This window comes from Homo sapiens, chromosome 8 (assembly GCF_000001405.40).
Source record: "Homo sapiens chromosome 8, GRCh38.p14 Primary Assembly".
Lineage (NCBI taxonomy): Eukaryota > Metazoa > Chordata > Mammalia > Primates > Hominidae > Homo > Homo sapiens.
Genome location: NC_000008.11, coordinates 27,660,689 through 27,687,121, shown reverse-complemented (window position 1 = coordinate 27,687,121; position 26,433 = coordinate 27,660,689). Strand labels below are relative to the sequence as shown.

General features: G+C 45.2%; 1 protein-coding gene and 1 pseudogene across 7 annotated transcripts in view; both read right to left on the bottom strand.

The window, feature by feature from the left end:
* SCARA3 (scavenger receptor class A member 3) overlaps positions 1-26,433 on the bottom strand; it is a 100,679-nt gene that overhangs the window by 47,020 nt on the left and 27,226 nt on the right. For 3 of the 7 annotated variants that reach the window (XM_047421850.1, XM_017013535.2, NM_016240.3), the window contains one exon: positions 14,104-16,222. The exons of 2 other annotated variants lie outside the window; for them this stretch is intronic. In XM_047421850.1, coding sequence (XP_047277806.1) covers positions 15,771-16,222 — 452 coding nt within the window. In that variant the 3' untranslated portion in view covers positions 14,104-15,770. Of the gene's footprint in view, positions 1-10,350; positions 10,554-14,103; positions 16,223-26,433 lie in introns of those variants that run through there. 2 more of the 7 variants (XR_949419.3, NM_182826.2) reach the window with 2 other exon arrangements.
* On the bottom strand, positions 7,187-7,286 carry RNU6-1086P (RNA, U6 small nuclear 1086, pseudogene; annotated as a pseudogene).

The following is a 26,433-nucleotide window of genomic DNA, read 5'->3' as shown; positions in this document are numbered from 1 at the left end:
TGTTCCTGCAATCAAGGTGGTATTATCATTGGACAGACCTGAGTCACCTGCCCACCCCTGGGGGAAAGTGGTTGCTGAGATCAGCCCCATTTGAACCATATGAAGTTATTAAAGGTGTTTATCCAAAATAAAATAGGATTGTTGTTCACAATGGGGCCTGTCGAGGGGTGGGTGGGGAGCGGGAGAGCCTCAGGAAGAACAGCTGATGAACGCTGGGCTTAATACTTAGTGATGGGTTGATCTGTTCAGCAAACCACCATGGCACACGTTTACCTACGTAACAAACCTGCACATCCTGCACATGTACCCTGAACTTAAAATAAAAGTTGAAGATAAACAGAAAATAGGGGTGTTGTTACCTAAGAAGAGGGTGTGGATACTCGTAAACTAACACAACAGCTACCTGCTATAGGCAGCATCTGAGCTGGGTTTGCAGGATGGACAGGATTTAAGCCCAGAGCAATAAAGAACAAGGGAGAAATAAATGGTACATGCAGAAGCCAGGGAGGTGCGGTGTAGATGGTTGAACCAGCAGCCTGGCCCCCCAGGAGGCCCCATGATAGTGAACAGGGAAGCCTTGTGTCCTCCTTGTTTCTTACTAAAATACTTCTTTGTAGTATTATTATTTTTTGTCTTTAAAGTTTACATATATATGTATGTATGTATTTTTTTTTTTAAGAGACAGAGTCTCACTCTGTTGCTGAGGCTGGAGTGCAGTGGCACAATTATAGCTCACTGCAGCCTCGACCTCCCAGGCTCAAACGGTCCTCCCACTTCAGCCTCCTAAGTAGCTGGGACAACTACAGCTGTGCGCCACCACACCTGGCTAATTTTTTCCTTTTTTGTAGAGAAGGGGCCTCCCTATGTTGCCCTGGCTAGTCTCTAACTCCTGGGGTCAAGGAATCCTCCCACCTCAGCCTCTCAAAGCACTGGGGTTACAGGCATGAGCCACCACGCCCAGCAACAATAATTTCTTAACATAATCTAATAATAAAACCTGCATTCAAATTTCTATGATTTTCTTAAAAAAGCTTTTATTTATAATTTGCTTTGTTTAATTAAGATTCAAACACAGTCCGCACATTGCATTTGGTTGATGTATCTCTTCAGTCCTCTTTTTTCAACAAACTTTTATTTGAGGATTAACTTTAAGTGTCTTTTAATCTTTAACATCCTCTGTACACATTTCCCCCCCACCTCATGTGTTTATTTGTTGGAGAAACTGGATTTTACTGGGTTTGACTGGGCAGCACCTCCCCAGTCATAAAAATGGTGTTGTTTAACATGTTTCTTTCTTTGGAGCTCTTGCCTCTAAACTGAAGATAGGTCTAGAGGCTTGATTACACGTAGGGTGATTTTCTTTTGTTTTCTTTCTTTTTTTGACAAATCAACTTCATAGGTGGTGTTGTGTACTTTCCACTGCATCATAACGGGGGCAGGTCATGTCTGGTTCTCTTAAATAGAATACTTCCACTGCTTCAGCTTTCTGAAAGATGTGGGCATTTTGGGTACATACTATTTATTAGATCTAAAAGTTCCCTTTTATTCCTAGTTTGATAAGACTTTTCAAAAACTGTAAATGCATGCTCAATTTACTAAATGCCCTTTCTGCATCTATTTAGGTATTTTCTTTTCTGCTTTGGGTAACAGGATTTTCTGTTCTTATAAATTAAGTTAGAGGATGAGTTCTATTTTTTCAGTTCTCAGGAAGAGTTTGTGTTGGATTGGAGTTTTGACTTCTTTGAGTGTTTTGGTAGGATTTGCTTGTAGGTCTTTCTATGTGGACCTGTTGCTTTCCTTGTGGGAATATTTAAACCACTGATTCAATTTCTTGAATGGTTTCAGACCTATTCAGGTTTTCTACTTATTAAGTCAGTTTTGGTGAGTTATGTTTTCCTATGAATTTGTTTGTTTCATCTAAGTTTTCAAAATTATTGGTGTCAAATTTTCATAATATTTCCTTTTAATGTCACCTTTTCCATTGCTAATATTCTGTACTTATGACTTTTTTCATTTTCTTGATCAATATTGCATAGGGTTTGTTGTTGTTACCTGAAGAAGAGGGTGTGGAACTTTTGGCTTTCCAGGTCCTCTCCATTCTAAACTTTCTTTTTTCCATTTCACTGATTTCTACCCTTTATTATTTCCTTTCTACTTTCTTTGTGTGTGTTCTGGTACACTTCTTTAAACTTTTTTTTTACATTAATTAAAATTTTTTTTAGAGAAGTGTCTCACTATGTTGCCCAGGCTGGAGTGTAGTGACTATTCACAGATGCAATCAGAACTCCCTGCAGCCTCAAATTCCTGAGCTTAAGCAGATCCTCCTGCTTCAGCCTCTTGAGTAGCTGGGACTATAAGTGATATTGCATCCGGCCAAACTTCTTAAGTTGAACACTGAATTCATTTAATTCATTTATTTTAGCTTTTCTTCTTTTCCTTTTCCTTTTTTTTTTTTTTGACACAGCCTTGCTCTGTTGCCCAGGCTGGAGGGCAGTGGCACAATCATAGCTCACTGTAACCTTGAACTCCTCCCTCAGCCTCCCAAGTAGCTGGGACTATAGGTATGTACCACAATGCCTAGCAAATTATTATTATTTTTTGTAGAGATGGGATCTCCCTATGTTACCCAGGCTGGTCTAGAACTCTGGCCTCAAGTGATCCTCCTGCCTTAGCCTTCCAGAGTGCTGGGATTACAGGCGTGGGCCACAGCACCCAGACTTCTGTTTCTAATATGGATGTTCAAGGCTATTAATTTTCTCTCCAGTTGCTGCCTCAGCCACATTCCTCTACTTATTTTCATTATAAAATAGTTTGAAAATGTTTTCTATATTTATTTAAACTAATTTTTATTGCTTCTTTTTTGGCTCATGAGCATTTGGAAGTGAATTTCTATTTTTATGACTTTTTTTAAAGTTGAGTTTTACTTTATATTTAATGAAATGCACAGATCATGTGTGTTGTTTGATATGTTTTACCAAATGTAGATACCTGTCTAAATCACCCACCTGTTAACATAGAGACCATTTTCATGACAGCAAAAACATATGTTTTTTTCTATCAGCTCTTGCTCTTCCCTGCACAACGTGAGGCAAGGACTATTTTTATTTTTAGCATCACAGAGTAGCTTTGCCTTTTATAAAATTTAACATAAATGGAATCATACTATACGATTCTCTTTGTGTCTAGCTTCTTTTCTTCATTACATAGTTTTTGAGTTTTTTTCATGTCATTCCTTATATTTTATTGTCGTTCTCCTCTTTCCTGTTTTTCTTCTTCTTCCTTCTCTTCCCTGTTCTCCTCCTCCTCTTTCTTCATAGTGTCACATTTCATGAAAATACCACAATTTACTTACCCATTCTCCTGTTGATGGATATATGGGCTGTTTCCAGTTTGGGGCAAATATGAGTAAAGTTGGTATGAGTGTTTTTGTACAAGTGTTTTTGTAGACTATGTTTTTCTTTCTCTTGGGCAAATACCTAGGAGTGGAAATGCTGAGTCATCTGGTAGATGGGTGTTTACCTTCATAAGAAGCCAAACAGTTTTCCAAAGAGGTTCTACCATTTCATACTCCTACCAGGAAAATCCTAATATTTGACTTTTTATGTCTGTTTAAGTTTATTCTACTGAGTAAAATATTATATTCTAGTTGTTTTTAAATTAGTTTTATGATTCTATAATGTATAGTTTATATACAAAAAAGGCACACATATTATTGGGCATAATTTGGCAAGTCTTGACAAATGCACACACCTGTGTGTGTAACCACCACCCCTAATCAAGATATAGAACATTTCTCTCACCTCAGAAGATTTCCTTATGCTTCTTTACAGTCAATTACACCACTTCTGCCCTAGGTTACAATCTCATTTCTACCACGCTATATTGGTTTTGCCTCTTCTAGAATTTTACATAAATGGAATTACACATGATGTACCCTTTTTTTGTATGGCTTCTCTCAGTCAGCACATTTTGTTTTTTGAGATTCATCCATATTTTTGTGTCTAATGTTACTTATTCCTTTTGACTGTGGGTATGCCGCAACTTGTTTATCCATTCTCCTGATGATCGACATTTGTTTTTTGTGTGTTTTTTTTGTTTTTTGTTTTTTTAGTTTCTGGCTAATTATAAACAAATCTATGAATATTCTTGTACAATAATTTTTTGGATCTATGTTTTTATTTCTCTTGGGTAAATTCCTAGGAGTAGAATGGCTAGACTATTTGAGAGGTGTTTGTTTAACTTTTTAAGAAATGACCAAACTGTTTTTCAAAGTAGTTATCTATCAATACCTGTGAAAAGAAGGGAACAGGAAAACTAAAGAAAAAAACAAAGTGGTTACATAATTTTACATTCCCTATAACAATGTATGAGAGTTTCAGTTGCTTTACATCCTTGCCAACACTTGGTATGGTTTTCTTAATTTTAACTATTCTATTATGAGTGTAGTGGTTTTAATTTGCATTTCCTTGGTCACCTGATAGTTGTAAATGCTGACCATCTTTACACATGTTACATATTCTTCTGTGAAGTATCTGTTTAAACATTTCACCTTTTTTTGTGGACTATCTTCTTATTACTGAGATGCAAGAGATATTTACATATTCTATTTATAAATTATTTGTCAAATATTTTCTCCGAATGTGTAACATACCTTATCATTTACTTAAATAGACCTATTAATAAGCAGATTTTAATTTGGATAAAATCCAGCTTATCAATTTTTTATGGTTAATGTTTTTCTTGTTTTAGCTAAGAAAACTTTGTCATTCCAAGTTCATGATAGTATTTTCCTTTATCTAGAGGCTCTGTAATTTTTACTTTTATATTTAGGTCTTGATCCATCTCAAATTAATTTTTGTGTATATGATGAGGTAAACATCAAGATATATTTTTTTCCCATATGGATATCCAATTGTTCCAGCACCATTTTTTAAGAATTTCTTCCCCATTCATTTCTTCTGGTGCCTTTGTAAAAATGCAATTGACTATTATTAAATTCATCTCTGACTCTGTTCTATTCCATTTGACTATCTGCCTGTCTTTACATCAATACCACACTGTCTTGATTATAATATCTTTATAGTAACAAGCAATGTAAGTCCTCCAAATTGGTTCTTTTTTTTTCAAGATATTCTTGTTTTATTTTGCATTACTATTTTATGTCCTTTGCATTTTCATGTACATTTTATCGTCAGCTTCTCAATTTCTACCAAAAAACCAAAAATCAAAACAATACATGCTGGAATTTTGTTTGGGATTACATTGACTATAGATCAATTTGGGTACAGAGATATATCATCCATGAACATGGTATATATCGCCATTTAGTCTGGCTTTTAAAAATTTCTTTCAGCAATGCTTTTTAACTTTATATGTAGAGATTTGTTTACTTTATTTTTTAAGACAGAATCTCAGCCTGTTGCCCAGGCTGGAGTGAAGTGGCATGATTTTGGCTTACTGGAGCCTTGACATTTTGGGCTCAAGCAATCCTCTTGTCTCAGCCTCCAGAGTAGCTGGGGCTACAGGTGCATGCCACCACACCTGGCTATTATTTTTTTTTTAAGAGATGAAGTCTCGCTTCTGTTGCCCAGGCAGGTTGTAAACTCTTGGCCTCAAGTGAGCCTCCTGCCTCAGCTTTCCAAAATGTTGGGATTATGCGAGTAAGCCACTGCACCCAGTCCATATGTAGAGATATTAAACAAATTTTGTCAAATTTGTTACCAAGTATTTTATGTTCTTTGCTGATCATGTAAGTGATAGTTCTTGAATTTCGTTTTTTAAATTTTTTTGTAGCTAGTATATAGAGATACAATTGACTTTTGTATATTGACCTTGTAGGCTTTGATCAAAGTTTATATTTTATTAAAAGCGAGTTTTTATGTAACTTCCTTAGGAATTTATTTATTTGTAAGTAGAGATTATTTTACTTCTTCTTTTCCATTTTTTATAAGTTATCTTTACTTTACTTGTCTTATTTCACAGGATAGGGCCTCCAGTACAATGTTGGCTGTAAGTTGTAAGAGTCAATACTCTTGCCTTGTTCTTGATTTTGGAGAGAAAGCATTTGGTCTTTCACCTTTAAGTGTGATGTTAGTTAAAGGATTTTCTTAAAAGGGTTTTGTCTAAGTTTAAAGTTTCCTTTGATTCCTAGTCTGCTGAGAATTTTAATTATAAAATGTTAAATTTTAACAATTATTTTTTCTGCAGTTATTGAGATGATCAAATTATTTTTCTCCTTAACTCTGTACATATGACAAACTATATTGATTGATTTTCAAAATATTAAACTAGCCTAGCATTCTTGTGGTAAGCCCCACTTAGCCATGGTACATTATCTTCTTTATGATGACTAAATTTGATTTGCTGGCTGCTAATTCAATTTGTTAAGAATTTTTGCATTTATATTCCTGAGGATTATTTGTCTACGATTTTATTTTCTTGTACCTTACTGGTTTCCTACTCTTTTGAAAGAGTTTGTCTAATGTTGGCATTATGTATTTCTTAAATGTTTGAAATAAATCAGTAATAAAACCAACTGGACTTGGAGTTTTCTTTAGGAAAAAATTTTAAACTATGAATTCAATTTTTAAAATATTAGTGGAGATTTTCTTTTTGTATTAGTTTCTGTGATTTTTATCTTTCAAAGAATTTGCCCATCTCATCTAGGTTATTGAGTTTGGTGGTATAACCTTGTTCAAAATGTTTCTTTGTTACCCTTCACTGTCTGTTGATTCTATAGTGATGTTCCCTTTTTCATTACTATTGTTGTTTCTTCCCTTTTTGTCTTGATCACTTTATCTAGGGGTTTCTTATTTTATTTATCTTTTCAAAGAAGTAACTTTTGGTCATGTTGGTTTTCCTTTATTTTCTTTTTTCTATTTTATTGATTCTGGCTTTAATATTGTTTTCTACCTTCAATTTATTTTGGGTTTAAATTTCTTTTCTTTTTCTATCTTATTAAAGTGAAAACATATATCAGTAAGTTTTAAATCTTTATTTTCTTATATACTCATTTAAAGCTCTAAATTTCCTAAGCATTGCTTTATCTGCATCCAACATATTTTGGTATGTTATGTTTGCAATACTATCCAGTTCAAAATATTTTCTAATTTTCTCTGATTTTTTTTCTTTCTGATCTATGGTTATTTAGAGGTTTTTATCTTTAATTGCTAAGAATGTGTGGATTAAAAAAAAGGAAGACTTCCTGAATTTGCATGTCAACCTTGTACAAGGGTCAGGCTAATCTCTGTATCGTTCCAATATTAGTCTACGTGCTGCTGTAACAGGTACTTGTGGATTTGACGTGTATCTCTCATTTACTGATTTCTAATTTACTTCCATGTAGAGAGAGTACTGTCTGTGTAATTTAAGTCTTTTTCAAATGCATTGAGACTTACCTTATGGCTCAGCACATGGTCTATTTTGGTTAATATCTGATGTGCCCTTGAAAATAATGTATGTTCTGGAGTTGTTGGTTATTGTGTTCTGTAAATGCCAATAATGTTAAGTTAGTTGACCTAATTCATATCTTCTCAAATCTAATAGATTTTTTTAGCCTACTTGACCTATCACTTCCTGAGAGAGTAAATTTTTTTGTTGCTGTTGTTGATACAGGTTGCTCTAAAAACTATAATATACATTCTTAATTTATCATAGCCTACCTTGCATTAATATTTTTGACTTATGAGAAGTGAATATGATACAAGAATATTCCACTGATCCACTTCCCTTCCATTGTGCTACTGTTACTGCTCATTTTACTTTTGTATGTCGTAAACCCCACAGTGATGATTTCCCCTTTAACAAAACATGTTTTAGAGAAATTAAGAAATAAAAAAGTGTCTTTATTCTCACCACTACATGCCTGGCTAATTTTTTGTATTTTAGTAGAGACTTACTTACTTAGTAAGTAAGTAAGTATATTGTGGTATTTTCATTAAATGTGACACTATGAAGAAAGAGGAGGAGGAGAACAAGGAAGAGGAGGAAGAAGAAGAAAAACAGGAAGGAGGAGAACGACAATAAAATATAAGCAACAACATGAAGAAAACTCAAAAACAATGTAATTAAGAAAAGAAGCTAGACACAAAGAGAATCATACAGTATGATTCCATTTATATTGCCCAAGGTGGTCTCGAACTCCTGAGCTCAGGTGATCTGCCCGCCTCAGCCTCCCAAAGTGCTGGGATTACAGGCGTGAGCCACCACACCTGGCCTACATTGATTTTTGAGTATTAAAACAACTACAAGGTTTATACTGAGATAAACCCCACTTATATTATCCATCTTAAATATTGCTGCATTTGATTGGCTAAAATTTTGTTTAAAGCTTTTACTTCTATATTTATGAAGGATACCAGTTTATAATTTCCTTTTCTTGTAATGGCTTTATTTTCTTGCAGTTTGTATCAGGTTTTGCTATTAGGGCAATGCTAGACTCAGAAGAAGTTTGGAAGTGTTTCCTCCTCTTCTATTTTCTGGAAGACTTTGTGTAGAATTTGTATTATTTGTTCCTTAAATGTTTGGCAGAATTCATCAGTGAGCCTATTTGGGTGTGGAGTTGTTTTGTGGGAAGGCTTTTAACTATAAAGTTCATTGCTTTCATAGTTATATTAATAGCAATGGAGCTATACTCATTATTTCTTCTTGAGTGAGCTGTGGTTGTTTGTATTCTTTAAGAACTTTGTCCACTTTCATGTAAGTTGTCAACTTTATTGACATAAAGTTGTTCATAATATTCTGTTACTATCCTTTTAATGTCTGTAGGATTTGTGGTGATGGTCTCACTCTTGGTAATCTCTGTCTTCCCTCTTTTATTTCTGATTAGTCTGACTAAAGACTTACTCATTTGTTGATCCCAGTGAATCAGTATTTGATTTCATGAATTTTTCTCTATATTTTTCTATTTGCATTTTCTTTAAATTCTTATCTTTATTGTATCTTTTCTTCTGTTTATTTTGGGTTTAATTTGCCCTTCTTGTATTAAACTTTAAGGTTAAAGTTTAGGTCATTGATTTGAGAACTTTCTTGTTTTCTAATACAAATGTTTAATGTTATAATTTTCCCTCCATACACTGCTTTAGCGGTATCACACAAATTTCATATGTTATGTTTTCATTTTCATGAAGTTCAAAATATTTTCTAATTTCACTTGTGATTTTTTTATTTGACTCATGAGCAACTAGAAGTGTGTTATTTCATTTCCAGTTATTTGAAGACAGTAGATATCTTTCTGTGCTTATTTCTAATTAAATGCCATGGGGTCACAGAACATATTTCCTGTGATTTGAATTCTTTTACATTTGTTGAGGCTTGTTTCATGGCTCACATCATGTTCTACCTTGATAAATATTTTATCTGCCCTTGAAAAGAATGATCTTCACCCACAGCTGGTGCAGTGTTTTTCTCATATTATTAGGTCAAATTGGCCCACAGTAATGTTCAAGTCTTCTATATCCTTACTGATTTTCTGTTTACTTATTCTATCAATTATTGAGAGAGAGATGCTGCTTTTTTAGCTTTGTTACTGTAGTCTAGAATAGCTGCTACTCTAGAACTACAGTGGTTTTACTTTTAAGCTATCGATTTTCTGGTATCTCAACTGAATGCATGGTGTTGTTTAGTAAGGCTGGTCAGACCTCCAAAATTCCCCACCACTGTATACCCTTCAGCATCTCTAGTCAGCTCACAGATTCCCCATAGATTCGAGCTGATCAGTCACTCAAGGGGAAGTATGTGCAGATATCTGAGCTCCTTCTGTGCACAGCTCCCTCCTGCTCAGTACCCCATCCAATTCCAGCTGCCTTGGCAGCCGCAAACTCCAGTCACCGTTTCTTCTTCCCATAAGACTATGGCTCTGTTTGGGCTCCACTTCTCTGTGTGGTAGTTTGGAAAGTGGCCCCGGACAGGAAGCTAAGGTGAATCTGGAAGTTGCCTTTTCTGTAGGTAGTGCAGTATGGGGAAGCTAGTTGCAACTCAAGAACTATTTGTTGAATGAGTGAAGGAATTCAGTGGGATCCGCAAACTGCCTATTAAGGTTTTAAATGTGTCTACATCTCGAAGAAGGGAAGCCTGTGAAGCTGAAATGATGACAATATTGGATGATGGGGAACAAGCAAGTCCCAAGTTGTAAACTTGGGGAACATCCTCGTCTGGGAGTTCAGAAGGAGAAGAAACCATCATATTACAAATCTGGGTAAAATCACGTGGATATTCCCTTTCTCCCTTTCCCTATAGGGAGCTGTGTTTTATCAGAAGGCAGAGTGTTGGACGCAACAGAGTTGGGTTTGAGCAGTGGTGTCCAAATATTTTAATCACATCCCCCTTAGTAAAATAAACATTTAAATCATCTTCCTAATATAGGTAAATTTATTTATTTATAAATTATTTTCATGTACCACAATTGGCTAGTGTCTCAAGGCATAATATGTGCTTAAGGTGATGCTTACCATTAAGGATAGTAAACAAATTCATTTTCAAATTATATTCTTGGTCATCCTGGGCTTTATGGCTGGCTTCATATCATATCCGATTATGTGAAAACAAAGTGTGACCTAGAATAGATGAAACACATTGAGATGTTCTAATATTTAATAGTTTGTTCCTCACTTCAGGGGATTTCGTTGGACACCTATGTTGGAGACTTTGGGCTTAGGGAAAAGGCCTCAGGGAAGTCGGGGGCCTGGCTGAGGTCAGCACCTGGCTTCCTTTGAGAAGTTGCCAACTCTCCCAGCCAGAAGCACACTCCTGCTGCCATCTCCTGCACTGCTCTCACTGGTGGTGTTAGTAACGAGGCAGCTGGAACCGGGAAACCCAGCAGCCCTCAGTGTGAAGCCTTGTCACAGCTTTGTCACTAGCTGGCTCTGGGAACTTGAGCAAGTTGATTCTGTGGAACTCAGCAATCTCAGATGCAAACACAGGTCTTATCTAATTTCCAATGCCACCTTTCTGTAAGAAGCAGCTCAGTATAGCAGCTTCTAAAAATCCTGGGTTTGAAACCACTTAACATCTATGTGGCCTTGAGCGAGTTAGCTTTTCTGAGCCTTGTTTTCTGATCTATAAAATGCAAACACACTTTGCTTGTGAAGATTAATTGAAATTATATACATAAATCAAAAAACAATATTTTTCTATATCTCCTACACCTGTGGCTCTCAAGTTTTATCTGGGGCGTCAGAATCCCTGGGAAACTGGGGGAAGTACACGTTCCTCCCCCACCTCCCCACACCCCGTCCCGCCCCATTCCTCCCATCCCACCGCGTCCCTGATTCTGAATCAGAGTTTCTGGGGGGGAGGCCCACAATCTGCATTTATTTATTTATTCATTTATTTAGAGATGGAGTCTCACTGTGTCACCCAGGGAGGAGTGCAGTGGTACAATCTCAGCTCACTGCAACCTCCACTTCCCAGGTTCAAGCAACACTCCTGCCTCAGCTTCCCAAGTAGCTGGGATTACAGGTGCACACCACCCTGCCCAGTTAATTTTTGTATTTTCAGTAGAGACGGGGTTTCACCATATTGGCCAGGCTGGTCTTGAACTCCTGACCTCAAGTGATCCACCTGCCTTGGCCTCCCAAAGTCCTGGCACTACACCAGCCTGTGTATACCGCCTGCCACACCAAGCACAGAGTCTTGCACTTGGAAGTGTTCAAAAGAAAACAAAAGGGCAAGACAGAAGAAGGCAAGCAAAACAAAGGGCCTGTGCTCCTGCAGGTCAAACAATCCCCAGCCAGGCTGCTCAGCACACCACCCACAGGTCAAGGCTTGCCAGCCCAGCCTAGCCCAGCCCCACTGGAAAGTTCACTGTGGTCAGACCATGTTTTTCAGCTCTCTGCTCTCCTCTCCCGCGGCTCTGTTTTGACAGGTGTATCCAGGGCTGGCGCAACAGAAGTTGTCAGCTCAGCCCTGGCTAGAGACGAGTTGGAGGGACGGCAGAAGGCTTGCCCAGCCCCCTGTCCTGCCTGGGTTGGAGAGGTGGTGAGGTCGCCAGGGTGAAAGGAGTGGGCTGGCCTGGGGTTTTTAGAGGCACTCAGAGGACATGAGCCAGGTCTGTGGCTTCCAGCAAGCCCCTGCTCTTCTTAGAAGGAGGCCCAGGCAGCCTGGCACGGTGGCTCACGCCTGTAATCCCAGCACTTTGGAAGGCTGAGGTGGATGGATCATGAGGTCAAGAGATCGAGACCATCCTGGCCAACATGGTGAAACCCCATCTCTACTAAAAATACAAAAATTAGCTGGGCATGGTGGTGCACGCCTGTAGTCCCAGCTACTCGGGAGGCTGAGGCAGGAGAATCACTTGAACCCAGGAGGCGGAGGTTGCAGTGAGCCAAGATCACGCCACTGCACTCCAGCCTGGTGACAGAGCAAGACTCCATCTCAAAAAAAAAAAAAAAAAAAAAAGAGAGAGAAAAGAAAGAGGCCCAGGAGTGACTTCAGGGCTTTGCAAGTCTGGTGGGGATTAAAATCACCCCAGTGGTGAAGGCTGGGCTTCTAATCTGGAGACTGAAATTCCAATGGCTGTTACCACTCAATGTGGGTTCAGACTTCATCGCCTTGGCCCTGGAAAGTTCCAGAAAATAACCGAGCAGGGCAGGAGAAGGAGCACTTGGTTAGAATTGCAGGACAGAGGAACACAGCATGTCAGACTCAATGGAGGCAAGACCAGTCCACTCCCTCTGTTTTCTGATGACGAAACTGAAGGTCAGAGAGGGCCAGTGCTAGGCCTAAGGTCCCACAGTGATGAAGGGCCAGCAGGGCAGAAGCACAACCTGCCCCGTTTCCATGGCCACCGAGGCACCTCCATCATGGAACTCACTCAATCACCCACTCTGAGGTGGGTTTCATCCATTCACAAAATTTATGAATATAGGGATTCTCAGCATTTGCTTCAAGCTTTGCAGTTCTAACTGTCTGTCCCCTTAAACCCCAGGTTCCGCTGTTTGGATTTCAGTAGTACCTAGAGCTGTCCAGATACTCCAAAGGGCCACATTAATACTAAGAGCAGTTTGATGACTTACGACAGGGAACAGGATTGGGGCGGGAACACTTCCCAAGAAATATGTGGTAGGAGGCTTCCTGAGGACCCTCACCAATAGGAAAGTAGCCTGAGAACTGGATCTACCACTAGCCAGAGACACCAGACTGGAGTTCCAGCCCCAGATGTGCAGCAAACCCCTCAACTGCTCTCAGTCCTTGGTTTGTCCCATGAGAAGTAAGAGACTTGAGCCTCAGACTCCCCCAGGTCCCTCCCAGCTCTCACAGTTCAGGGAGCGTGAAATGAGACATGCAGGGGCTGGTGTGCTGGCTACTCACCTGCAGAGGAGCACAGAGCACACCCACTGTGGCCCAGGAGGCTCTTCACCCATATAATAAGTCCCACCGTGACAATGGCTGATGTTTATGGTGTGTTGAACATTGTCAGGTGCTGTGGACATCTCAGATGTCAGTGGGGAGGAGGGACCTCATGCTACTCACTATAGAGGAAGCGGTGAGGTCCATGTGAGGCAGCCATGTTTGGCCCCATCCTCACCCCCTGCCCTTTTGCTCACTTCCTCAACTAAGCACCAACCCACCAAAAAAACTCCAAAAAAACCCAAAAAACAGGGCTCCAGGCTTGCACTAGGTCACATTTTGCCAGTGAGTGAGGCTGCTGTGCCGACTCACAGAGGATCCGGCTGTCCTCTTCCGTAATCCGCAGACCCTGCCAAGCCAGGCCCCTTGGGGCAGGTCTGGCCTGGTCTCTGCCTCCTTTCCTGTTCTATCTCCTTGTCTTGGAGACAAAAGCCAGAAGCAGGAGGTATCACTCACATGTCCAGGCCTGCCCTGTTTTCCAATCTTGTTTTAGCCAAAGAGCTCCAGGGCCAGGCTGCAAGATGCATTGGGCTTAGCATTTCCCCCTCTGTTCCTGCTCTCTCTGAGTAATTCCCTCAGACGCTCTTGGTCCCTGGCCGAACTCAGTGTTTCTAAAATGAGGTTAGACCCAACTCCAGTGAGATTGAATTTTTGGGGGACCCTCGTCACTGGTTCTCCTTCAGAGGCCCACCTGGAGTGCAGCCCTGAAGGCATCATGCCCCCAAGTCAGGCAGAAAGGACTCAAAGACACCTCACTCCTGGAAATAGCTCTTTACTGAGTCAGTAATACTATGCAGAATGGTATTATCATATGTGGACAGGAGAGTTACATGGCCGTGGGGTGTGCAGTGCAAACCAGTTGCACATCCAGGACAGTCAGGAGGGTGCGGAAAGGCTTTGAGCAGGGAAGGGCTGCTCTCTGGGTCCGTGTTGGGAAGGAGACAACTCTATGCCCTAACCTTGCGGGCGGTGGAGGGGGTGGTGCCTGAATCTGTTTGAACATGAAGGCAAAGCAGCTTTAGAGTGTAGCCAACAGGAGACCTCCACCCTGTGGGGTGATTTCCCAGCGCCCCTCTCTGCCAGTGTGTGCAGGAAGTTGGTGGGTGCCAAGGAGTGATGACAGAGGGGGCCTCTGTGAGTGTCCAGGCCCTTCCCACTCCTAGTCCAGCTGGCTGCCCATGCAAAGAGGGCTCGGGCCATTGTGGGTCCCGGTGGGACAAGGTCGGCATGCAGCTGTGATCAGGAGAGCCGTGTGCGGGAGGCGAGAGCTGCCCTGTTGCAAGGGGTTGGCCCTTCTGCAGCCTAATCCTCCCCACCACTCCAGAGGAGCCCCCTTGGGGAATGGGGCAGGCCAGCCTCAGGGAGAGCAAGGGAGGCAGCTGTGCAGAGAGAACCTTCTGGCCTGCCTCTGTCTCCCATCTCCACTCAGGCCCAATGTTCCAGGGCCTGCAGAGTGCCCCCATGCAGATGAAACTCCTGCTTGGATTCCTTCCAGGCTGCTCCTGAAGGGCAGAGGCAAGGATGAATTGAGGAATTTTCTGGACACGTGAAGAAATAAATGTTGAACTTCTCAGGGGGCACTGTGTGCAAGGCCAGAGAATGTCAGCCTCGTGGCCCCACTGTGCTGTGACAGACAGGGACAGCTCCCGGGTATGCTGGTCCCCTGCTTATGGGGAGGGTCTTGTGGTTGCCAGGTCCACTTTGCCTCTGGAGTTTTGGCAGTAACGCCCCACCCGCAAAGGTTTCCTTGGGGCTTTTCAACCCCAGGGAGCCCTGGGAAACTGCTGGCCAGCATGGGTGCCCAGAGACAGATGTGAGACCTTCCTCCCGAGGTAGCTGCCTCCCTGGCAGGCTCAGTCACAGGAGAGGGGGTCTTCCTCTGCCCTCTCCTCCTGCCCAGCCAGGGAAACCCAGTTGGCCCACCTGGCCAGCAGAAAAATCTGTGTATGTGCATGTGTATATATGTGTTTGTGTGCATGGATATGTGTGCAGTGCATGTGTGTGTGCGTACATGTGTGTGCCTGTGCATATATGTGTGCATGTGTGTGTGCATGTGTATGTGTGCATGCATGTGTGCCTGTGTATGTGTGCACGTGTATGTGTGCATGTGTGTGTGCGTGCATGTGTGTGTGCATGCATGTATGCCTGTGTATGTGTGCATGCATGTGTATGTGTGCATGTGCGTGTATGTGTGCATGTGTGTGCATGCATGTGTGTGCATGTGCACATGTATGTGTGAGGAGGGGCTGCTTTCCTATGGCACAGTCACTATGGGGGAGCCCAAAGCTGCAGGGTCAGCCCTGGGGAGCCCCCTCATTGGAATCAGAGGACCACAGCTGTCTGTAGGTGAGGCTTTCTGGGGCCTGGATCTGCTCTGCGCCCCTCCGGCATTCTGTGTGACAGTGGCTCTGCCACAGCCCTCCTCAGTAGAAGCTCTGGCTTCCTGGTGGACCTGGAGGCCCCGGGAGACCAGGGGGACCCTGGATCCCTGGTTCACCCTTAGGCCCCATGGCCCCCCGCTGGCCTGGTGACCCTGTCTTCCCTGCAATTCCCGGTTTTCCCTGAGGCCCTGAGGGCCCTGGAGACCCCGGGGGCCCTTCTGGCCCTGGGGGCCCTATGTCCCCTTTTGGGCCTGGCTGTCCTCTCGGCCCTCCAGTTCCAAAGCTGCCCTTTGAGCCTTTGAGGCCTGGGAACCCTCGAGGGCCAACAGGGCCCCTTTCTCCCACAGGCCCGGCCTCTCCAGGTTGCCCCTGAGGACCCTGGGGTCCCAGGGGGCCCAAGCTGCCGGGGTCTCCTTTCGGGCCTCTGCCGCCAACAGGCCCTTTCACGCCCATATCTCCTTTGAATCCTCTTGGTCCTGGAGGGCCGGGGGCACCTGAGGTTGGAGAGAAGATGGGAGAGGTCAGTCTGTCAGGGGCTCCCCACCCGAGGCTCGCCCATGAGCAGAGCGGGCACGGCGACAGCCCGAGGGTTGAACAAGTCCAGCGGACACTCATTTCTCACTGCAAGGCTTGCCGATAGCTCCACACACACACTGAGGTTAGGGAACAAGGGGCTGGCCAGCTTCGAGAAGCTCCGCACACACACTGAGATTAGGGAACAAGGGGCTGGCCAGCTTCGAGAAGGGGCCAAGGTTGTCCAGGATTGCCTGTCCTGCTCTGAGGCCAGTCTGACCTCCTGTACCTTCTCATGCATGGTCTTTGACCACTGTATTCACCCCCACCCCACCCCCATGACTTCTCAGTCATTTGGGAACAGGGTTCAAGTCAGGTGACATGGAGGAGAAAACTAAGAAAGTGGGGCATGAGAAATAGGTGTGTCCCAGTATGAGTAAGTGGGCACAGTGACAGCCCAGAGAAAGGTCAGTACCTCCAGGAAGCCCACCCTGATCACCCAGCCTCTTCACTGAGCTCTTAAGGCTACTACGTTGTGAGTCTTTTCATTGACACATACAAAGAGAAGTCACCTCACAGTGAAAGCAAACACTGGGTACTCTCTGGTGGGCCCTGCTAGACTGTGCAGCCCTAGGAAGATGGCAGGAGCCACGGCTCACATCCCAGCCCTGGACACAGAGCCTGGAATGCAGTTAGGAAAACTCAGTATGTGCTTGAAGGGGGTGATTCACCAAGCAGCCATGGACCCTCCTGTGAGTCTGGCTCTGCATGAGGGCCTGCGGGAGTTGCCAAGATGAAGATACGGCCCTTCCTTAAGGAGCCCTGTCTAGTGCCGAGGACAGGGGACTGATGACCTCATGTCCTTCTGGCTATGTGGGTCTGAGAGTCTCCACCCCTCATAGCTGTGCCAACCCTGAGGACACAAGGCAGAAAGTGGGCCTCTCGGGGGAAGGGATTCTGCATGCTGGGAGCTGGGAGCCCTCCACTGCCGTACCCAGTTCTGCGGCACAGGCCCCTTCATCCTGGCTGATGCTATCTGAGCCCTCTGCTGTGCCCCTCTTTGTTTTCTTCCCAGAGTGTTTCTAAGTGGAGCAGAGTCAGTGAATACATCCTTTATTATGACCTAAACTGGAAACCAGAGCCCAGACAGAGCCAGCCCCACCAGAGCCAATAAAAACCTTCCAGTCGGTTCCCTGCCACCACCTGCCCTTGCCCACCTCCCGCCACGGGGATGTGGCCCTGCATGGCTCACGTGGCCTGCCAGCAGCAAGGCTGAGATTCCATTGTTGAGTTAGCCAGGGATGAAAGGTGGCCAGCAGCAGTGGCAGCAGCCTGGCCTCAGAGAAGCCGGGAGGCAGGAGATGCCCTTGGCCTGCAGGAGCCCCTGGCAGCTCAGCAGCCAGAGTGCCAGGGGCCCAGGCTGATGCCTGTGCAGGAGCCACCTCCCCACCCTGGCAGGACCTGCAGGGAACCAGCACAGCCATAGCGTCTGTCTTCACCCTACCTCTGCTCCTGGCGCCTGGGCCAGCTGCGGTTTGGAAAAGCAGAGAGCCATACAGAGGCGGAGACGCCCCACGAAGCTGTTGGCGGTGCGGCAATGCTGGCAACCCTGTTCCAAAACTCATATTTCATCCACAAAATTGCGTGCTCACTCAGCTTCCAAGGGCCCTGCAGCTCCATGACCCCTTCTCCTGCCACTCCCTCCTCCCTGTCTGGGTGGGCATTCGCCTCCTCCTTCTGTCCCGACTCCTCCTGGGCTCACTTCTCCCCCAGGGCTTGTCCCCAGCTCCCTGGTACTCCACTCTCTCCACTCTCGCCTTCTGGGTGGACAAGTTCACAATCCCCATCTCCAGCCTTGACTCAGGAAAAGCCTGAGAAGACTCGCTGGGACAAGGATGCCCTGCCCTGCTCCTACACACAGCTGGGGCCCTCTCACCTTCTTCTGGAACTCCATTCCTTTCTATGCCACCATCTTTGGTGGACAACCTCTCCTCCCTGGTCTCTAAGAACACAGCAGCCAGCTGTGAGGATTTCTTTCTTTTTCCGAGACAGGGTCTTCCTCTGTTGTGGCTGGAATGCAGTGGCACAATCATAGCTCACTGCAGCCTTGAACTCCTGGGCCCAAATGATCCTCCAACAGGCGCATGCCACCATGCCAGCTGATTTTTTTATTTTTATTTTTTGGCAGAGATGGGGTTTCACTATGTTGCCCAGGCTGGTCTCAAACTCCTGGGCTCAAGTGATTCTTCTGCCTTGGCCTCCCAAAGTTTTGGGATTGCAGGCATGAGCCATCCCACCTGGCCTATATCTGTGATTTCTTTTTTTTTTTTTTTTGAGACGGAGTCTCGCTCTGTCGCCCAGGCCGGACTGCGGACTGCAGTGGCGCAATCTCGGCTCACTGCAAGCTCCGCTTCCCGGGTTCACGCCATTCTCCTGCCTCAGCCTCCCGAGTAGCTGGGACTACAGGCGCCCGCCACCGCGCCCGGCTAATTTTTTGTATTTTTAGTAGAGACGGGGTTTCACCTTGTTAGCCAGGATGGTCTCGATCTCCTGACCTCATGATCCACCCGCCTCGGCCTCCCAAAGTGCTGGGATTACAGGCGTGAGCCACCGCGCCCGGCTATCTGTGATTTCTAAGGGATTCTGTGCCAGCAGCAAAGGAGAAAAAACTCTCCCTCCTCCCGACCAGCCCCTTCCAGCTCCTCTTTCCCGGAAAGCTCTGGGGAGTCTTTCCCTAGGTGTGGAGGCCCAAGCGCCCACATGCTCCTGGTGGATGTTTATGCAGAAGCCTCAGTCATATCATTCCCTTCATTGCCCAGGAGCTGCAGCCTAGCGTGAGTGGAGGGAGGATGCAGGGAGAAGGGTTCCCTCCCTCTCTATATCCACCCCTAAGCCACAGCTGCCGCTTCTCACCCCATCTCTGAGAACCCAGATGGGAGTGGGAGGTGTCCCAGGCAGCGGCCGGGAGAAGATAGAGTGGACGATGTTATCGGGGGCCTGTCTACATCTTGTGGGTCTCCGCGTGGGCTACTGACAGGTGCCTGTGGTGCCGACAGAAGCCTCCCTCGCTGCCCGTGTCACGGCTGGCGGATGGAGCTGCTCGGTGCTGGCGTGCCATAGTCAGCCCTGCTCACTCTCTGCCTGCTCCATGCCTTCTTGAATCTCCCACAGGGTGGAGAAGGGAGGGACATGAGAGCAGTGACATTTGCCAACTTCGTCGAGTGTCTGCTATGTCCCAGGCAGGAGGCTGTTGCTCCATTTTACAGATGACAATGCAGGTGCAGCGGGTGGCCACGTGCTCAAGATAACAGTGCTGGCGTCAGGATTCCAATCCAGACCCGAGAGGCTCTAAGACCCAATCTCCTTCCCCCATGCCGCTACCTTGGCTCCTGTGCCACTCCCAGCACTGCCTGGAGGAGGGAGAGGCTGCAATCCTAGGCACTGCCTGGAGGAAGGAGAGGCTGCAATCCTAGGTGCTGCCTGGAGGAGGAAGACCCCAGAGCCTTTTTCTAAAGAGTGCTTTGGGGTCCCCACTGAGTGAGAAGGGGACTCAGAAGGCTGCCTTCCTTAGGTGAGCAGGGCACCACCTGCCCTCCAGGCCAGGCATGAGTCATGCGGGCAGAGGACTGACAGCAGGCGTGACCTGGTCTGGCTAGGGAGGAAGTCAACAACTGTAGTTTAGTAGTTAGTGTGGGGGCAAGGAATGTGGACAAAGGCTGACCAAGGCCCCTCCAGGCCGGGGTGCCACTGACCCTGCCAATAACAAGGCAGGGGTGAGGGGCAGAGGAGAGAAGGGCTAGAGAAGGGCTAGTGGCTGCTCTGAGCTGAGGGAAGGCACTTCAGGCCACCAAGGAAGATGGGCAACAGTGGCCGAGGTGCGTGGGAAGGAGAGGGACCGGCACACCCTGGAGTCCGGTGGAGGGGGGCGGCCATGATTACTCAGGAAGCCACAGGCTGTAATCAGGCTTTCCAGGCTCATTAGGGTCCAGCCACAGCTGACCTCACGTCTGGGACCATGGAGTGGCTGGCTCTGTGGTCTGAGCTTGGATAGGGAGGAGGGGGTGGGGTGAGCAGAGTGCCCAGTGTCTCGGGCATCAGCACTGCCCACCCATGGGAGGGGCAGTGCATGGCCCAGGAGGAGCCCATGGTACATCTTATGGTCAAAGGCAACTGGCCAGCTTACAAGGACAGAAGAAAATAAAACAAAGGGGTGCCTCTGGAGGGACTGGCCTGGTGCCGTGGGAGGCACATTGGCGTGGACATCAGGCACCCAGTGTTTGAGACCCAGCTGTCATATTAGCAAAGCGCGTGGCTGGGGCTCAGGCTCCCCTCTGCTCCATGAGAATATTGGCCTGGCTCAGGGACTCTCAAACTTGCTTGTTGCCAACTGAGGGCTGTTAAAAACATGCCCATGGGCTTCGACTTCTGCTTACGATGGACTAGTTTATGACAGATTCAACCTCCCACGGAGAACAAACAGAGCTGTTAGAGAAAGACCAAAACATCTTTCTGGAGGCTTTGGAGGGATACCAAGGGCCAAGATCCCAGAGAAGAGAAGACTCATTGAAGTCAGCCTGACATCTTTTCCCCTCCAGGCATTTGTGGATTTGTTATTGGTTTGTGCAAAGAGGCTTAGAAACCAACAAAGGGCTGCAGCTATTAGGCTGAGAAGCTGAGTGGAGTTTTCAGCAGCATCACAGGGCTGAGAGAACAAAAACTGGGTCAGGGCCACCAAACCCTCTTCACTGCCACCTCCGCAGGTAACTCGTTGGGCCTGAACAGCAGAATGACATGACAGTCTCTGCTTTTTCGTCCTTCACAGGTAAACTCCTGAACACTTCAGTGTGGAAGTAGGATGGAGGGTGGTGCTTATAGAACAACACATTTGCAGATTGAATCCCTTTGTATCTTGCCCATCTTGGGCTTCTACCTTTTGTTCACACTTTCATTTATTTATTCACCGAGCAAACATTTCTTGTACTTTCCAAGAGCCAAGCACTCTGCCGGGTCCTCGATGAGTAACACAAGGAGCCTAGGTCTCCAAGCAATTTAGCATAATAATAATCCCTTATGCAGAGCACCCTTTCATATTTTACAAGAACTTGTTCACACCCATTGTGAACACTGATCCTCACAATTACCCTATGGGATACAGGCAGGAAAGGCATTAATATTTCTATTCGCAGATGAAGAAACTGAGTTCAAAGCTTGGCTGGGTGTGATGGCTCTTGCCTGTAATCCCAGCACTTTGGGAGGCCGAAGGTGGGTGGATTGCTTGAGCCCGAGTTTGAGACCAGTCTGGGCAACAAAGTGAGACCCTGTCTCTACAAAAAAGAAAGAAAGAAAGTAGCCAAAAGCCCCGCCCCAGGTCATTTAGCTAATACGTTATGATGGTTTTAGTCTACAATTCCCAAATGATAGTCCTAGCATGGACACAGTCTAGCACAGACACAGTCTAGCACAGACACTGAAATTACCCTGCAGAGTAGGAAGAGATAAATATTTTATGAGAGACACAAACACTATGAAAGTACCACAGTCTTTCTGTTGAGTAAATGGGGGCTTAGAATTAATTAGAGCTGGAATAGTTCTCAGAGATCAGCTGGTCTTACCACTTCATTTACAGCTGAATGAAGCAGAGCCCTGGAGGGATGAAGTGATTCTGCCTAAAGATCCAGAGCACATCAGAAGCCAGGCTTCTTGCCTGTGCAGTCTCAGTTCCAACCCTTCCATCAGGACTTGGCACCTTCCACATGGCTCCAGCCGCTGCAATCCCTCCCTTTATTCCAGATAGCCGCTCAGTTCCGGCCACGTGGAGACCGCATTGCCAGCTCCTGTGTCACAGCCTGTCTGTGCCTGTCTCTGGATGAATGAATGAGTGACCAGGTCCCCAGAGAAAGGGATGTGCACTGTGTCCCTGAAATTTGCTTTCAATTGTGAGAGATTTTACATGTGGTGACTTTAACAACCAGGAGAGAGGCTGGCCAGTAGACACAATTTAAACAAATGTGCAGACGTTGAACCAAGACTCAGGTGTAGCTCAAACAGATGCCCCGTTTTGCTCTCCACGCATGACTAGGACTCCTAGTCATGGAACTCCACACATGAAAACTCCACGCATGACTAGGACTCCTAGTCATGGAACTCCACACATGAAAACTCCACGCATGACTAGGACAGCAGCAAGTGTAAATTTCAAGAGTACTATTGGTTATATTAGAACGGTTCCCCTGTCAACACTTTTGGCGCCATCTCCCTCTTCCCCACTCCCTGCCCCACACCCTATAGCTTAGCAGGACCTGAGCAGAAATGTCTTGTTGGCATCTACAAACTCATTCTCTGGGCATCTCCTTTCCTGGGTGGGCACTGAATTGTGTGCATTTCAGAGCATTGGAGAGGGGTCAGGATTTTAAATCAGAGTGACCCTGTGCTTATTCCTTTAAACTCCCTCCCCCATCCTCAGATTACTTTTCTATAAATAGAGTCACCAACATCTGCCTTGTTTACCATGCAAGGGTTGTCGTGAGGCTGAAATAAAACAAAATGTGTAAATGGGCATTGTAATCAGGAAAGCTTTAAATTGCCTTTGTTCTTAGCTTGAACTCAATGAAACCACACACTTGCCAGGGGCTGAACCATAAGAACTATTTACTAATGCCCTTCCCTGGAACATTGTGCCCTAGAGGTCGTGCACATACGTATTTTAGGTGAAATACTGTGGGAAGATTTCCGTTACCATGTCAGGGGACAGGAAATAAATTCGATGAAAATTCGAGAGCCTTCCACCTCAGTGAAATTTCCAGAGGTCAAGTGGAATGGTTATGTGGAGACAGATATCCCTTCTAAGGTGAAGGATTAGTTGTTTCATCAGGCCCCTCCTAAAACCCAAAAGAAGGCACAATGCCTTGTGGGCTGATTTGGACTTTGGAGGTAACATATTCATCATTAGAGTGCGTATTTCTAGTCATTTGCCAAGTGACCTGAAAAGCTTCTTGTTTGAGTGGGGCCCAGAACAGGGGAAGGCTCTGCCACAGGTCCAGGCTGCCATGCAAGCTGCTTTGCTGCCTGGGCCATAGGACCCAGCAGATCCAGTGGTGCTTGAGGTGTCAGTGGCGGGTAGGGATGTTGTGTGGAGCCCTTGGCAGGCCCCTGTAGGTGAATCAGTACAATCCCTTAGGATTTTGAAGCAGCCCTCCCATTCTCCATAGATAACCACTCTCCTTTTGGGAAACAGCTTTTGACCTTCTACTGGGCCTTGGTGGAGACTAAACACTTAACCATGGGCAACCAAGTGACCAGTGTTCTGAGCCACCAATCATGAACTGGGTGGTAGCTGATCCACTAATCCATAAAGTTGCGTGTGCAGAGCAATACTCCATCATCAGATGGAAGTGGTGTACATGTGATCTGGCCTGAGCAGGCGCTGAAGGCACACATAAGTTACATAAAGAAGTGGCCCAGATGCCCAGGGGTCCCGCTCCTGCTACCCTATCTTCTCTCTCCCAGCCTGCACCTGTGGCCTCATGGGGAGTTCTAAATGATCAGTTGATGGAGGAAGAGAAGATTCAGTCCTGGTTTACAGATGGTTCTGCAGGACATGTAGGTACCACCTGAAAGTGGGCAACTGCAGTCCTGCAGCCCCTTCCTGAGACGTCCCTGAAGGACAGTGGGAAAGATAAAGGCTCCCAGTGGGTAGATCTTTGGGCTGTGCACCTGATCGTTCATTTTGCTTGGAAGGAGAAATGGTCAGATGTGTGACTATGTACTGATCCATGGGCTGTGGCCAATTGTTTGGCTGGATGGTCAGGGATGTGGAAGGAACATGACTGAAAAACTGGTGGCAATAAAATTTAGGGAAGAGGTCTGTGGACGGGCCTCTCCAAATAGGCAAAAATACTGAAGATATTTGCATCCTATGTGAATCCTCACCAAAGGGTGACCCCAGCAGGGGAGGATTTAATAATCAGGTGGATAGCATGACCTGTTCTGTAGATACTAGTCAGCCTCTTTCTCCAGCCACCACTGTCATTGCCCAATGGGCTCATGAACAAAGAGTGCATGGTGGCAGGTATGGAGGTTACCCATGGGCTTAACAACATGGACTTCCCATTCACCAAGGCTGACCCAGCTATAGCCACTGCTAATGCCCAATCTGCTGTGGCAGAAACCAACACTGAGTCTCTGACATGGCACCATCCCCCAGGGTAATCTGCCAGCTACCTGGTGGCAGGTTGATTACACTGGATCATTTCCATCATGGAAAGGGCAATATTTTTACCAGAATAGACGCTTGCCCTGGATATAGATTTGCCTTCCCTGTACACAATGCTTCTTTCAAAACTACCCTCCGTAGACTCACAGAATGCCTTATCCACAGTCATGCTATTCACACAGCATTGCTCCTGACTGAGGAACTCACTTCACAGCAGACGAAGTAGGGCAATGTGGCATGGAATTCACTGGTCTTACCATGTTCCCATCATCCTGAGGCAGCTGGCTTGATAAAACAGTGGAATGGCCTTTTGAAGACTCAGTTACAGCACCAGCTAGGTGGCAGTACCTTGCGGGGCTTAGGAGTGGTTCTCCAGGAGGCTGTATATGCTCTGAATCAGCATTCAATACATAGTGGTGTTTCTCCCAAAGTCAGACTCACAGGTCCAGAAATGAAGGGGAGGTAATGGCAGTGGCACTTTTATTCTTATACTGGTGACCCACTAGAAAATTTTTACTTCCTGTTCCTATGACCTTATGTTCTGCTGGGATAGAGGTCTAGTTCCAAAGGGAGGAATGCTGCTACCAGGAGACACAACTGTGATTCCATTGAACAGGAAGTTAAGACTGCCACCTGGCCACTTTGAGCTCCTTATGCCTCTGAATCAACAAGCAAAATAGAGAGTTCCTATGCTTGTGTGGGTGACTGATCCTGACTGCCAAGGGGAAATTGGACTGCTACTCCACAATGGAAGTAAGGAAGAGGATGTCTGGAATATAGGAGATCCCACAGGGTGTCCCATAGTATTACATGTCCTGTGAGTAAGGTGAATGGAATATTCAACAACCCCACCCAGGTAGAAATACTATAGCCCAGACCCTTCAGGAGGGAAGGTTTAGATCACCCCAGCAGGTAAAGAGCCAGGACCAGATGAGGGGCCTGCTGAAGACAAAGGGAATACAGAATGGGGAGTGGAAGAAGGTGGTGATGAATACCAGCTACAACCACGTGACCAATGACAGCAACAAGGACTGTCATGGTTATGGTATGTCCTCCTTATATTTTACTGTATTTCTCCATTCAGACATTCTGAATGTAATCAATCCTCCTTATTTTTTTAATGAATATATCTGTGTGTGTGTATAGCCAACAATTTTGTTTTCTGTCTTCTCTTATTCCCTTATTGTGTAACATAACATGTATCTCCTCTATAGCACAAATATTGTTAACTTTACATCATAGTATTTAAGTTACAGGGTATAAGCAAAAGAATAAAATTCACTCAAGGACTTTAACTCCTCTTCAGGGGAAAGTGTGTGTGTGTTTTTGGTTGTACTCAGGAGAGTTGCATCACATTAGGTGGAATTATGACCTTACTGTTGTCTTTATTTGGAGATTAAGTATGGTTTAAGGAGATGTGTACAGGTGCCAAGTAGACAAGGGGTGGGCTTGTGATGGTTAATTTTATGTGTCACCTTGACTAGATCAGATATTGGTCAAATATAATTCTGGGGCCTTCTGTGAGGGTGCTTTAGGATAAGATTAACATTTAAATAGGTAGCCTGGGTCAAGCAGATTGCCCTCCCTGGCGTGAGCAGGCTCATCTAATCAGTTGAAGGCCTGAATGGAAAAAAGAGCTGAGCCTCCCCCAAGTAAGAGGGAATTCTTCCTGCCTGATGGTCTTCAAACTGGGATATCAGCTCTGCGGATTTTGGACTTGCCAGCCTTTCTAATTACAGGAGCCAATTCCTTATAATATCCATCTATCCATCTATCTCTATCATTATCTATCTATCTATCTATCTATCTATCTATCTATCTATCTAGCTAGCTAGCTATCTTCTATCTATATCTATTTTCTATCTATCTCATCCCTATCATCTCTGTTTCTATCACCTCTCTCTCTCTCCATTATTGATTCTGTTTCTCTGGATCTATCTATCTATCTATCTATCTATCTATCTATCTATCTATCATCTA